The sequence below is a fragment of the Homo sapiens genome, chromosome 2, assembly GCF_000001405.40.
Source record: "Homo sapiens chromosome 2, GRCh38.p14 Primary Assembly".
NCBI lineage: Eukaryota > Metazoa > Chordata > Mammalia > Primates > Hominidae > Homo > Homo sapiens.
The window spans coordinates 171548180-171563774 of record NC_000002.12 but is presented as its reverse complement, the minus strand read 5'-3'; the positions used below and the strand labels follow the sequence as shown (position 1 = coordinate 171563774).

Genomic DNA, 15595 nt, shown 5'->3' with positions numbered 1-15595 from the left:
GAAATCTTTAAGATGATTTGCCACACAGATACAATCACTACAGTGGTGATTCTCAGTCTCTACTTGCACTCCATTCGCAATCCAGTGCTCTGTTAAATGAGACAGAGACAGAGAGAGAGAGAGAGAGAGTGAGAGGTTGAGAGAGAGAGAATGGAGGAAGGCTAGGCAAGGAGAGGCCTGAATCCTAATCATCACTCCACACTTTTCCACACCCTTGAGTTTTATTTGCACTTTTGCTTGCTCTTGGGGTGAATTAGCTCACACTTAAGGCTGTCACTGCTCCTCTTGCCTCACACCCTTTTACTTCCTTCATTTGAGTGTTCCAGGTGAGTTCACTGGGCCAGAACCTCCTACAATCTGCTCAAGACCTAGAGGTTTGAATGGGGAATGTGAGCGCTGATAGAGACAGGGAGCCAGGTCGTGGGTTGGGGAGGGCAAGGATGCTTCCTGCCCTCCTCCTTCATCACTAGTGGCTACTCTAGGGCCTGCCTGTGTGTGCCAGGGCTGAGCTAGGGCCTGGCCCCCTGGAGTTCTACAGAGTCCCTCTGGTACCTGAGCCACAAGAGAGGCACCTGTTCAGGAAATCTCATCAGAATCTAAACTTTAAGAGGAATCTCAGAACTTATCCATTTCAACATTCACCCAATGCTTATATTTCTCTTTTTCACCTTCATTCCACAAGAGAGAAATTTGTGACATGTCTCAGTCTAGCCTTAATGTGATAAGATTCATATAAATAGATATGAGAATATAGAAAACATTTATTTGGACTAGACTTCAGACTAAATTTCTGCCATAACATTCACCAAACTAAGGGATTGCTTATGTACAGTTCTGACCCTGAGGCTGACAACCAGATATTCTTCCCGTTGAAACAGAAAAACTCATACTATTCCACTCAGCCTAGAAATTTCCTAGTTATGTACCAGTAGATATTATACCAACCAGATTGCCAACTGTATTTGAAAGTCAATCAGAAAGCTTCTCCTTCCAAAATTCTCACCCTAATAGAACACTCACCAGCCAAATCCTGCATGAGCCGTCTTCCTTTCACTCTATAAACCTCACTCGCCTATCACGCCCCTTGAGTGGCTACCAGAAGGAAAGTGATCATAGCTAACTCACTCTAGTCAGATCTGAAAAAACAGGTTTCAGATAATTCTATAGACATTGTCTTTTTGACAAAACAAAAATGTATTCTTATGGATTGGTGATATAAATGAGCACTGCCCTGTGGGCTACCTCTGACATGAACAAAGGTCGGCAGACATGTGCTCCTGGACCGCTCCCGTATCGAGCATCCTCACCCACCCAAATTGGCCTGTCCTTAGAATGGCTGGCCTTACGGGTTGTGCCTCTGTAGTGAGTGAGGGGAACCCTTTTCAGTTTGTGCTCCCCACTCCTCTATTCTAGCTCCCTGAAGCCTGCATCCTATGAAGATGTATTCTCTTGGTTCCAAGACAGTTCTTCATACAGCCGATAATCATGGAAGAAAGTCCACATTCCTTTAAGAAGAGATGTGGACCCGGGGAATAAATGGTAAGGAGTTGTTTGAAATGCTTGTTCCCAGGTGCTGTAAAGAAATAGTACTTGAACATAAATTTAATTTATTTAGTAAGGCCATTTTTACTTCCTGCAGAAAGAGTACACTCACCAGAAGTTTTGCCCTTGGTGAGAAATGTATCCAGCCTATACCGGCTTATCCTCATTCCAAAACACTAAAGCAACTAACAGGGTTCCTTGGCATAACAGGCTTCTGCCGAATATGGATTCCCAGGTACGGCGAAATAGCCAGGTCATTATATACACTAATTAAGAAAACTCAGAAAGCCAATACCCATTTAGTAAGATGGACACCTGAAGCAGAAGTGGTTTTCCAGGCCCTAAAGGCCCTAACCAAGCCCCAGTGTTAAGCTTGCCAACAGGGCAAGACTTTTCCTTATATGCAACAGAAAAAAACAGGAATAGCTCTAGGAGTCCTTACACAGGTCCGAGGGACCAGCTTGCAACCCATGGCATACTTGAGTAAGGAAACTGATGCAGTGACAACGGGTTGGCCTCATTTTTTACTGGTAGTGGCAGCAGTAGCAGTCTTAGTATCTGAAGCAGTTAAAATGATACAGGGAAGAGATCTCACTGTGTGGAGACTTGTGGCTGTCAGACAACCATTTGCTTAAACATCAGGCTCTATTACTTGAGGGACCAGTGCTGCGACTGCACACTTGTGCAACTCTTAATCCAGCCACATTTCTTCCAGGCAATGAAGAAAAAAATAGAACATAACTGTCAACAAGTAATTGCTCAAACCTTCACCACTCGAGGGGACCTTCTAGAGATTCCCTTGACTGATCCTGGCCTCAACTTGTATACTGATGGAAGTTCCTTTGTAGAAAAAGGACTTCGAAAAGCGGGGTATGCAGTGGTCAGTGATAATGGAATACTTGAAAGTAATCCCCTCACTCCAGGAACTAGCGCTCAGCTGGCAGAACTAATAGCCCTCACTTGGGCACCAGAATTAGAAGAAGGAAAAAGGGTAAAAAGGAAAAAGGGTAAATATATATACAGACTCTAAGTATGCTTACCTAGTCCTCCATGCCCACACAGCAATATGGAGAGAAAGGGAATTCCTAACTTCCGAGGGAACACCTATCAAACATCAGGAAGCCATTAGGAGATTATTATTAGCTGTACAGAAACCTAAAGAGGTGGCAGTCTTACACTGTCGGGGTCATCGGAAGGGAACTGCCAAGTGGATATTGAAGCCAAAAGAGCCACAAGGTGGGACCCTCCATTAGAAATGCTTGTAGAAGGACCCCTAGTGTGGGGTAATCCCCTCTGTACTCAGCAGGAGAAATAGAATGGGGAACCTCACGGGGACATAGTTTCCTCCCCTCAGGATGGCTAGCCACCAAAGAAGGGAAAATACTTTTGCCTGCAGCTAACCAATGGAAATTACTTAAAACCCTTCACCAAACCTTTCACTTAGCCATTGATAGCACCCATCAGATGGCCAAATCATTATTTATGGGACCAGGCCTTTTCAAAACTATCAAGCAGATAGTCAGGGCCTGTGAAGTGTGCCAAAGAAATAATCTCCTGCACTGCAGGCCATACATTTCAATCCCTGTATCTTTAACCTCCTTGTTAAGTTTGTCTCTTCCAGAATCGAAGCTGTAAAACTACAAATCGTTCTTCAAATGGAGCCCCAGAAGCAGTCCATGACTAAGATCTACCGTGGACCCCTGGACCGGCCTGCTAGCCCATGCTCTGATGTTAATGACATCGAAGGCACGCCTCCCGAGGAAATCTCAATTGCACGACCCCTACTACGTCCCAATTCAGCAGGAAGCAGTTAGAGCGGTCTTTGGCCAACCTCCCCAACAGCACTTGGGTTTTCCTGTTGAGAGGTGGTACTAAGAGATAGGACTAGCTGGATTTCCTAGGCTGACTAAGAATCCCTAAGCCTAGCTGGGAAGGTGACTGCATCCACCTTTAAGCACGGGGCTTGCAACTTAGCTCACACCAGACCAGTCAGGTAGTAAAGAGAGCTCACTAAAATGCTAATTAGGCTAAAACAGGAGGTAAAGAAATAGCCAATCATCTATCACGTGAGAGCACAGGGGAAGGGACAATGATTGGGACATAAACCCAGGCATTCGAGCCGGCAACGGCAACCCCCTTTGGGTCCCCTCCCATTTTATGGAAGCTCTGTTTTCACTCTATTAAATCTTGCAACTGAAAAAAAAAAAAAGATGGGCTAGAGGCAGGAACCAAGTTCTTTGAATGCTGTGAGGAGAAACATTCCACCCAGACTGAGGCGTGGTGGGAGCAGGGGCAAAGGAGATGAAGCAGGAGCTGAAAAGCTCTAAAATCTGAGTTTTAGAGGAGATGCTGAATTCAGCAAGGTGTAGAAAGTTGGGTAGGATATTTGAGTATGTTTTACCAGATCCTCATGACCTTATTGTAGCTATTACAGGGCAGAAATTTGTCTTAAACCTAGCAGAGAACCACTACGTAGAATAATTTGCTATTCCATAAATATTCCTTTCTGTTGACTCCCAAATTTTTTTTTATTTTTTTATTTTTATTTTTATTTTTTGAGACAGAGTCTTGCTCTGTCACTTAGGCTGGAGTGCAGTAGCATGATCATGGCTCACTGCAGCCTTGACTTCCTGGACTTAAGTGATCCTCCCACCCTAGCCTCCTGAGTAGCTGGAACTACAGGCACATGCCACCACACCTAGATAACTTCTTAATTTTGTTTTTTTAGAGATGCGGTTTCACTTTGTTGCCCAGGCTGGTCTTAAACTCCTGGGCTTAAGTGATCTTCACACCTCAGCCTCCCAAAGTGCTAGGATTACAGGCATGAGACATTGCACCCGGCCAACTCCAAATTTTTAGACAGAGCTCTATTCCTTTAACCAATTGCATATTAAAGAGTCTCTGAATCCACCTATAAACTAAGCTTCTGTTTCAAGTTATCCCACCTTTTTGGGGCAAACCACTGCATACCTTCCATGCATTGATTTATGCCTTTCCCTATAACTCCTGCTTCCCTAAAATATCTAAAAGCAAACTGTAATTCCGACTGCTGGGGCACACTTTCTCAGGACCTCTTGAGACTGTGTTCCCCAGGTCATTGACACTTGTATTGGCTCAGAATAAACCTCTTTAAAATATTTTACAGGCTACTCTCTGCCTAGGGGGTAGCACTGCTCTACAGGAGCAGTCATGGTGCTGTAACACTGCCTCTTCAGTAAAGCTGTTTTCTTCCACCTCTGGCTTGCTCTTGAATTCTTTCCTGGGCAAAGCCAAAAACCTACATGGGCTAAGCTCCACGTTGGGGCTCCCCTGACCTGCATCAGTTTCTCTAATCTCTTACTGCTCAGGAGTCAAGTGGCCAGAGGTCACAAAATTTGTGACTTCCCCAGTTGCTCCTATAGATAACATCACTATTGTAGAACCTAAGATTGGTCAGGTAGTGAAGAGCTGACCCCATCTGGACTTGTGACTCATGACTTAATTGGTCCTGTGGCCCTCCTCCAGAGGGGGACTCAGTGCATGAGGATTGTTTTCTACACACCTATGATTGCATTCCCAACCAATCAGCAGCATCCATTCCCTTGCCCCTGCCCACCAAACTATCATTGAAAAACCCTAACCTCTGAGCCCTCAGGAAGACTGATTTGAGTGATAACTCCAGTCCTTCTGCTTGGCTGCTTTGCATTAATTAAACTCTTTACTGCGAAAAATTTTATATATATAAAATATTAAATATTATATATAAATATATAATAATAGTAAATATTATATATAAATATATAATATTAATAGTAAATATTATATATAAATATATGATATTAATAGTAAATATTATATATAAATATATGATATTTATAGTAAATATTATATATAAATATATGATATTTATAGTAAATATTATATATAAATATATAATATTAATAGTAAATATTATAAAATATGTATTATACATTACAGAGTCTGGCTTTTCAGTTAACATAATCAAGAAACTGAAAAAAGACTATCTCTGCTGAAAAATAAACAAACCAAAAACCATGGCAAAGAAACTTTCACAACAATGCCTACCCCTGCTACCCCAGACAAATTGATAACACACAAAGAGCTTCCAAAATAACTTTTATTACTATATAAAAGAAGTCAAGAAAAAATAGATGCATATTTTTCCTACAAAATTATAAAATATTCAGGATAGTTAATATTTTTTCCATAAATGCGCTAAGATAAAAAGATAGAAATCTTTTTCACTTAAGGTTTTCGAGTACCTTGTAGGAATTAAAGAACAATAATGTTCTTTCTTCTACATTTTCCTAAAGACATAGCAGTTACAGTTTCCTGCTGGAGTTATCTAAAAAAGGACATACCAAGATAAATTTTCTATCATATTGAAATAAAATTAGCATAAAGCTTTACTTCTGTCTTTGTGCTTTTAGATTGGCAACTGTGGTCAATCAGTGCTGCACTGGAATTTCCAACTCAGCAGGGGAAAGAATCTAATTAAAAATGACACACACTCTGTATTTTGTCCTTTAGAAAACAGAAACTGCTTGTCGATATCCCTTAAAAAGTGCAATTGCCTTCTTTGTCATTTCTTTGTAAAGTCTGAGATGTTGTTTCTAAACAGCACAGCTTACATGAAACCACGCAAGTAAAGGAAAGAAAGTGCTTTAGAGGGCAGGTTCCATTTGACACAAGCAGCACAGGAAGCCGTACACTTTTGATGACAGTAATTCAAAAAGTATATTCATTTGAGTTTCTCAATAAACGCTTTGAGAGAAAAGGCTTTAATGTTGATTCAGATGAGTGTTAAAATAAAGCTTTCTTTTCTGAAATTAGATTATGGGGTAAACCAAGCCAGATTATCTCTGGAGATGACAGAAGCCATAATTATTTTGGGAAATTTCAATCACTGTTTTGGAATTGATACCTAAGGCTTTCTTCTCCCCTATTATTTATGGGCTTTTTAATGAGATATTTTTCTCGGGAGATGCTTAGGTAGGAAATATCAGCTTTTGAAAGATAAAGGTACAATTATCATTAGAATCAAAAGCCCATTAAATAAGAGTCTCAAACAAAGGTTTTCTAGATATATTTTATATACGTTGTTTTCATAAAGATAGAAAAGAAATTCCTATAATATCTGTAAGATTATCCTCACATTAGCCCACATGAAAGATAAAATAAAGGGCTGAGATGGGGGGTGCTTAAATACTTTGCAACAGTGCTATTCTAGTGCCAAAGCCATAATTAACTTTTCACTGATAACCTGTTTCTTAGCCTATACAAAAAGGAATGGCCACCTCAATTCTGGCGGCTTAGTCACTATCTAATCCCTTCCTCCAAAAACCCTGGAATTTTGTGTTCCTCTATGTAATGGAACATCCAACTTATCAAATGATGTGTGACTATGCAACTACTCCTTCTATGGCACCAAGACTGTACCATGCTCCACCCATACTGAATTTAATTGTGCTACCACTTTGTGCCAGGCAGAGGGCTGGGTACTGGGGATCCTTCTGGCTCTATTACCAATTTTGGAAATAGAATTTAGTAGAGAAGAAGAGAACAGTGTTGCAGCAAGGGGATCTTGAATGGTTTTTCATGAAGTTTAAGGGATATGATGGAGTGTGGCTTGTATTCAGTCTTTGGAAGTAAGTACCAGTTACCTAAAAAGAAATCCACTAAGCACCAAAATGTTTAGTGTATTTGGTGTAGAGTTTCTACCCATATTAAAATGCTTCAGTTTAAAATTGAAGGGAAGGCAAAAAAATCAACCAAAAAATGAAAAGTATCATTTCAGCATAAGCACTACTCTAGGTTTTAATTTGTCAGCCCAGATCCCAGACAGAGATGATACTCCAAACATGAAAAGTCACCTCCAAGTCTCAATTCACTACTGAGAACCCAAAGCTCAAAATATCCCCTAAAATTCCATAAAAATCAGGAAAGACCCTAGCTATTGCCCCAGGGAAGGGCAGACCATGAGACAGGTCTCTTTTAGCTCCAAACTGAAAGTTGTTCAGCAGCTAAAATCCTGAAGAAAAAAATATTGCAATTAATTAACTTGAAAGCTACAGATATGCCTGTCCAAATCTTTTGTTACCAAGACACAATTTTAAGATCAAACAAGTGTCAAGGTAGGCCATGGCTTGTTGGCAGTAGTAGGGGCCCTATGGCCTATTTCCAGGTATGGGTGGCCCCTTTTCCTTGGTTATCTGGGGAATCTGCCACAGCAAACAGCAAAAGGTAAAAAGCATCCCTTTAATAACTACACCCCACTCCAGCAATTGAGGTTTATTCAGGGGTGGGTCAAAGTAGTACAAGACAAAAATAGCTTAGTGAAATGGTTAGAATCCAGACTGAGGTGCCAGACTGCCTGCATCTGAGTCTCAGTCCCACCATGTATGAGCCGTGTGACCTTGGGGTGAGTTACTAGCCTCCCCAGGCTTCAAATCTCTCACCTGTAAAATGGGAACAGTAACAATACCTACTTCATCCCGTCTGTCTGGGGACTGAATGAGCTAATATGTGTAAAGTGCTTAGAGGAGTGTTTGGAGCATAGTAAGTGCTGTGTGAGTACTTTCAAAAATAAAAACAAGAACTTGGGGAAAAGTGCTCTCTGAGGTTTGTAGGGCAGTGTATGCTACTTAAGTGTTGAAGCATATTTTCATTCTAAGAAGTTTAGCATCTGGATCATAAAGTACATCAACCCTAGGGAAGTCTTGGGGCTAACTTCAGTTTTGGAAATTCTTCCAAGTCTGACCAGAGAAGATCTCTTCAACCACCTGCTCTAATCTATCAATACCCTAACATAAACCCTAGTCTCCAGGGACAATTTGAGCCCAAACCAGCTGGGGAGGGAGCAGAAGGCAGGCATGGGGAGAAAGGAACCAGGTGCTTTCCTAAATTTCTTTAATATACTCTCATCATGGTATCTGTGTAGAGTCATGATCTAAACCCTGTCCCAGATATTCCTTATCGGATTTTAAACTTTTAGGACTGCTTCCCGCTAGTTGTGAAATCATTGTCTCCCAGAATTAACAGGAAATGACTGCATGACAACAGGCCAGGGATGCTGCCAGTTTATCCAATTAACTACTAGTAGACACATATTCACATATTGAGTATCTATTCTGCACAAGGCACCGTGCTAATGTTGTGGTCCTCAACAAGATAAAGGTAACATAACCACAATTTATATCTGCTATTATTTATATTAATCACATCCTTTCCAATTCAGGTCAGTTCATAGGCCTCAATCAATACAAATTATTTCAAGAAACCATCCTTTGTGATTAAAGTAAATATTGATACTACATAGCCCAATTATCATATGGCTAATAGGAGAAGCAAAACTGTAGAGCTAGTTTTGAAACGTGACGTTATATGGCTCTATCTCTACAACATTTTACATGGTAGATCTCTGCCCAGCCTCATCCAGAGCTAAGTTTCTTTTCCTTGCTGCTACTTCACTGTTTAACTCTGAATCTGATTTGTCCATGTTGTTGCCAGAGTAGGCTGGCATGGAACCTCTTGCTCCCTGTTCAGTGCCTCCATTTGGATGAAGAATGGTAGAATTTGGCTCCTTAGGACGTTTCCATTGCGGTCTGGTGACTATCCAAAAAATGAGGGCCCCGAACACCAGGATCAGAAGGCCAAGCGTATTTACGAAAACACCTTCTGGCGGGAATGTACTGTATGCAGGATCTCTCCTATGAAATAAGAGATGTATCCAATTACAAACAGGATGATACAGCAACATGCAAAACAGTCTTGAATTTATCTGCTCAAAATGCACACTAGTACAGTTTCAATGTAAACTCTCAAAGCTTGCTATTAAGGAGAAATATAAATTATGCTACAATTCACTCGGGAATATATAATGAAATTGATTTAAAAATAATAAATATGAAAATAATATAGCATCTGTAACACTTGTTTTAAGGCAGGTAGGGTCTGGAGGCAGGCAACCTCAGGTCAATTCACACGGACTTCCTAGAACTAAACCAAAAGGAAAACCCCAACTTTCCACATCTAAGTAGCAAAAGGACCCGAGGCTACTCCCTTTGCAAACCCCGCTTTTCTGCATGGCGGATGGAAAATTGAAAGTATCTCTGATTGGTTGCTTTCTACAACCAATCAAACTGACTGCAGGCCACCACTTCATTTACATGCAGTGAACACCAACTGGCCAATGGGAAACCTCTAGGGGCTATTTGGACCCAAGAAGATTCCCTATCGGGCCGTTGAGTGGCTGCTCAGGCCACTCCCGCCCTGTGGAGTGTACTTTCATTTTCAGTAACTCTCTGCTTTTGTTGCTTCATTCTTTACTTGCTTTGTTTGTGTGTTTTGTCCACTTCTTTGTTCAAAACGCCAAGAACCTGGACACCCTCCACCAGTAACAGTTATCACTTAAAATTTTTAAAAAGGATGAAACAAAAATGTATGTACACTATAATTACAATTAATATAAAAACATGCATATCAACAAGATTGAAAGGGAATGTATAACTTCAATAGTTGTTTCATAAGAGTAATACAATTTGTCAGACTTTTTGGTCCTTCTAAACTTTTAGTAATATCATATTACCTATATGATATAACAAATTCTTTAAAATATTTTTTAATTTTAATATCTAAAAAATTTTGTTATATTTTTATTACATTTTCCCAGTGAACAAGTATTTAACATTTTGTGGCTTAAGTATTACAATTAAGAAGACTATGCAACTTACAGGGAAAAAATCAGTTTCTCTGTCAATCCCATAAGTGCTGTTGCAATCACTGTTCCAAAGATGACAATTCCAGAATAAACATGTATGGGCATGAGAAATGCTCGGAGAGAAAGCGGAGCCCATGGAAGCAGAAAGACTGAAAAACCTGAAAGAAGCTAAACACCAAAAAGTGCAAAGGTTATCATTTAATTTTAAGTTCTAAACTAATTTTAAATTATTTAAAAAGCAATATGTGTAATATGACAAAACCTTTCATATAGAACCAAAGGGTAGAAAATGAAGTTTCCTCGCTCCAGTTCCACTACCTAATGTAACCCCTTTTATCACCTTCTCATGGATCATTCCAGAAAATTTATTATCCCTATACATATTGTTCTGCATCTTGCTTTTTTCCCTTAACAGAATATCTTGGAAATCTTTTTCATACCTATACATTTACCTAATTTATTCCTTTTAATGGCTAATATCCTAAGGCTATAACAATTTATTTATACAGTTCTCTATGGATGTTTCTGTTTGGTTTTTGCTATCCTTAATCCGACTATAGTGAACATTCTGGTACTTACTTGTTTGTTTTTACCAATCTCCTAAGGTTGCTAAGTAGGAAGGGAAGGAAAAGATTTTTTAAATCACTAAAACCGAGTACATTAGGACACAGAATTTAGTCAGTTCAACCTAAAAAGCTATGTGGAATGAAGTTGATTTTTGTTTTATGAGAAAGAAATGAATTCTGCAGAAAAGGTGTCTTCATTTCCTTGATAATGAAATCGCTAGTGGGATACCTCTTTGCAGAGAAGACAGCAAGGTTCCTATATAAACTGAAGTCTGTTGCGCTTTCACGGTTTTGTCACCCCACACGTTTGCCCATCAAGTATCCTCTCTTCAACAAGATAAAGATGACTTTGTGGTTACTGAATTACTGAGTTTAAAGGAACATTTTTTTTCAGATGCCTATTTAGGATCTACCATCCTAGCAAAACAATTATGAAAAGAGAGGAGAGTGGGGAGAAAGCACTAACATCACTGTTCAGCTTTCTTGATTGAGATCCAAGGGCTAATGGGGAGACAGAAGAAGGGAGGCAGGGGGAGGGGTCCAACGCCCTAATTCACACTGAGAATCAGCTCATGTGTAATACCAAGTAGTAATAAATGGAAACTGATAACAAAACAATTTGTATGATTTGTCACTTTAACAGACTGCAGAGGAAAAATCATATAATCATCAAAACAGATGGTGAAAAACATTGGTAGGATTCAACAGTCATGTATGAGATGTTTTAACAAACTAGGAATGGAAGATGATTATTTTAATCTGATTATATTAGGACAGAACATGCTATAGGAACTAACAGGCTCCATTTTCAAGAGCTTAACATATAAAAGTATATTTCTTGCTCACACACAGTCTGCTTATGGTCTATAGGCATTTCAGAGTAGCTCTCTTCCAAGACATGACTCAGATCTAGAAGGGATTTGTCTTATATCCCTTATCACCTATTCCTATTCAGCATTTTTCTGAAAGTCTCAGCTACTGAGTTAAGCAAGAAAAAAAAATGATGATAGAAAAAGAAACAAAACTTATTAATCACATAAGATTATAAAACACAATCCAAAAGAATCTTGAGATTAATTACTAACATAAGTTTATCAAGTTTGCTAGGTATAAATTTATACTTGAGATCAGTTGCACTTTTTGTAAAGAGGCAACAAGTGAATTAATTTTTAATGATACCATTTTTAATAGCAAGGAGCTAGCAATAAGTTGGAGACAACAACTCTACAAAGAAAATATAAAGCTTTGCAATATTTTGGAGAAGGCTAAAAAAACAGGCTCAGGATAATGAGTTGGAAGACTTGTATTATACAGATGTCGGTTCTCAAATTCATCTATAGATTAAATAAAATCCTAATAGATTTTTGGTGGAATTTGATGCATTGATTCTAAAATTTACATAGATCAAAGGGCCAAGAATAGCCAAGATTAACTGTTGTTTTCTGAAGTATATCCTAATACAATAAATTCTGTAATTTATATTTAAAAAGTAATAACAAATGCATTTGATAGGTTGGTTTGCATATTTTATTATTTAGTTAATAACCAAAATGCCTGAATATATTAGAAATGGTTCAGAGGGTTCCCTCTTGGTGGTTCAGAATATTCCTAAATCTTCTTCAGTGAACTTCAGTGATTCTATTAGTATCAAAGGGCAAGCTTCCTGATGTCCATGTTGTGCTTTCTATATGAAAATGGGGGCTGAGTGTGGTGCCTCACGCCTGTAATCCCAGCACTTTGGGAGGCCAAGGTGGGAAGATCACTTGAGTCCAGGAGTTCAAGACAAGCCCGGGCAACATGGCGAAACCCCATCTCTACAAAAAATTAGCTGGGCATGGTGGTGCACGTCTGTGGTCCCAGCTACTGTGGATGCTGAGGCAGGAGGATTGCTTGAGTCCTGGAGATGGAGGTTGCAGTGAGCTGAGATTGTGCCATTGCACTCCAGCCTGGGTGACAGAGTGAGACCCTGTCTAAGAAAGAAAAAAGAAAAGAAAGGAAAAGAAAATGGGGCTCAGGGATATAGCACAAATATATCTCCATAAATCATCATATCTTTTCTGTGGCTTACCCATAGAAACATATATTTCTCATTCCTGCTCTCCTATTTTCATTCCTAAGATTCTTTCTGTTTTCTCTCATTTCCTCCATAATTTGTCATGTGTGTCTCTTACAATCCTGTAGGGCTCAACAGTCTAAGCAGGTAGGAGGTCAGAAATTTGCTTACAGGATCCCTGAGCAACTTAACTACCCTAAATCTGACTTTCACCATTAAACATTTTTTGCAACAAAAGAAAATTACATTTAAAAGGAAAAGAAAAACATTACAGAATGCTTAACTTTGATTAAAAGTGTTCTGAATGCTGCAATAATGCATATTTATAATTTATAATAACTTATAATTTATAAATAATCATTATTTCCTTTTAACTATCTTAATCTTACTACCTTACAAGTGAAGGTGATAATTTATAACCTAGTGGACCGAAAATTATAAGACCTTTTGTCTCTCTAAGTCAGTACTGGAAGTGCTGTTCACAGAAGGCATGCATTTAAAGGGATGCCTGCTGTAATCCCAGCACTTTGGGAGGCCGAGGCAGGAGGATCACTTGAGATCAGGATTTTAAGACCAGCCTGGCCAACATGTCAAAACCCCATCTCTACTAAAAATACAAAAACTAGCCAGGCATGGTGGCACATGCCTGTAGTCCCAGCTACTCTGGAGGCTGAAGCAAGAGAATTGCTTGAACCCGGATGGCGGAGGTTGCAGTGAGCTGACATTGTGCACTTCAGCCTGGGTGACAGAGCAAAGCTCTGTCTCAAGAACAAAAACAACAACAACAAAAAAATAAAAAATAAAAAGATGCCTGGGCCACATTCTGACCTGCTAAATCCAATTTCTGGATTAGGGCCCAGGAATCTGTATTTTTAACAAACTGCCCAGACGATTCTTACGTATGTTGAAGTTTGAAAATGACTGCTGTTGATTCACTCAAATTATTCTAGAGATATGGATAAACAGTCTGGAAAACCCTCAAAAGAGAAGGTAGTGGAATATTCCATTATATATAGTCTACAAACACACTAAATGCCAACTATATGCAAACAAAGTGCCCCAGTGTTTAGGAATCATCACCTACAGGAAGCTGTTCTTCAACACAGTGGAAGTTCTTAAGAGCTAAGGAAAAATAAACTTTCATAAAAAGTTATTACTTAGAGATGAAAGTGAAAATACAGTATGACCCAATTATGTTTAAAAATTAAATATCTATATCTACATTTGCATAGGCATAATAAAAGCCTAAAGGGAATAAGCCAAAAGCTAATGATATCTCTAGATTATGGCAGTATCAGTGGGTTTTTTCATTTTTTGTTTTTTTATTTAATTTGTAGCAGCAGCAGAGGTTCTACTCCTTGTGGAACAGGAATACCCCACAGGCAGTGTGCCCAGAATAGCCAGGGTTTTTTCTTTATATCTTTCTACATCTTATAAACTTTAACATTAATGTGTATTACTTTTATAATTAGAAATAGACAATAAAAGTTTACTTTTAAAGTTTCCATGTTGGCTGGGCACAGTGGCTCATGTCTGCCATTCCAGCACTTTGGGAGGCCGAGGTGGGTGGATCACTTGAGGCCAGGAATTTGAGACCAGCCTGGACATCATGGTGAAGCACCTTCTCTACTAAAAATACAAAAATTAGCCAGGTATGGTGGCATGGGCCTGTAATCCTAGCTACTTGGGAGGCTGAAGCATGAAAGTCACTTGAACCCAGGAGGCAGAGGTTGCAATGAGCCAAGATTGCACCACAGTACTCCAGCCTGGGCGACAGGGTGAGACGCTGTCTCAGTAAATAAATAAATAAATAGAATAGAATAGAATAAAGTTTCCATCTTAAATGCCTGGGCATTTCTCAGTTAATTATTACTATTCTTAAAGATATAAATGTATACTACTATGGCAGTTTCTCACTTTATGAAACAGATGAGTTTTTTTGTTTTTATTTTTACAGAGATAGGGCCTTGCTATGCTGCCCAGGTTGGTCTTCAACTCCTGGCCTCAACTGATCTTCCCACCTTGGCCTCCCAAATTGTTGGGATTACAGGCGTGAGCCACCATGCCATGTCTGGCCTGAGGTTGGTTTTTTTTCTTTTCTTTTGTTTTCTTTTTTTTTTTTTTAGTGTGTGTAAGCTTTTAGACATAACAAAAGCTCTTATTGCAAAAGACATTAATGAGACCAGAAAATATCTACCTGGCTAGCTTTTGTAGTAGGTATGGTTTGCTTTTTTTTTTTTTTTTTTTTTAGGGTACAGGTAGATTTAATGAGCTTTCAAGTAAACTGTAGATTATTATATGGAAGCTCCTCCCAGCTCTCCTTCATCTTTGTACTATTTTATAAACTCATTCAGTCCTTCATTCCACATACGTTTTGCCCCTCTTATGACCCAGATGTTCGGAGTGTTGGGAATGCTACACAAGACAGACAAGCTCCCAATGTTAAAGAACTCACATTTATTTTCATTAATATTACTGTTAATGTCCAACTTTTTGACCATTCATAGGCTTTTCTCTTAGATTAATTATTCAGAAATATTAGCACTAATCTGAATCACCTTATGTGCTTGTTAAAGCACAGATTGTTGGGCCCCAGCCCGAGTCTTTGGTTCAGTGGATCTAGGGTGGAAGCTGAGAATCTGTCTTTCTAATTTCCCTAGTGATGCTAATGCTGCTGTTCTAGGGACCAAACGCTGTCTTAGGTCATTGCCAAAT

General features: G+C 39.2%; 1 protein-coding gene across 3 annotated transcripts in view; it reads right to left on the bottom strand.

Annotated features, from left to right (window-relative positions):
* Positions 1-5645: 5645 nt before the first annotated feature.
* Positions 5646-15595, bottom strand: part of CYBRD1 (cytochrome b reductase 1) — a 35897-nt gene continuing 25947 nt past the window's right edge. For all 3 annotated transcript variants that reach the window (NM_001256909.2, NM_024843.4, NM_001127383.2), the window contains 2 exons: positions 10275-10429; positions 5646-9251 (listed from right to left, as the gene is read on the bottom strand). In NM_001256909.2, the coding sequence (NP_001243838.1) occupies positions 8948-9251; positions 10275-10429 (459 nt within the window). In that variant the 3' untranslated portion in view covers positions 5646-8947. The remainder of the gene's footprint in view (positions 9252-10274; positions 10430-15595) is intronic.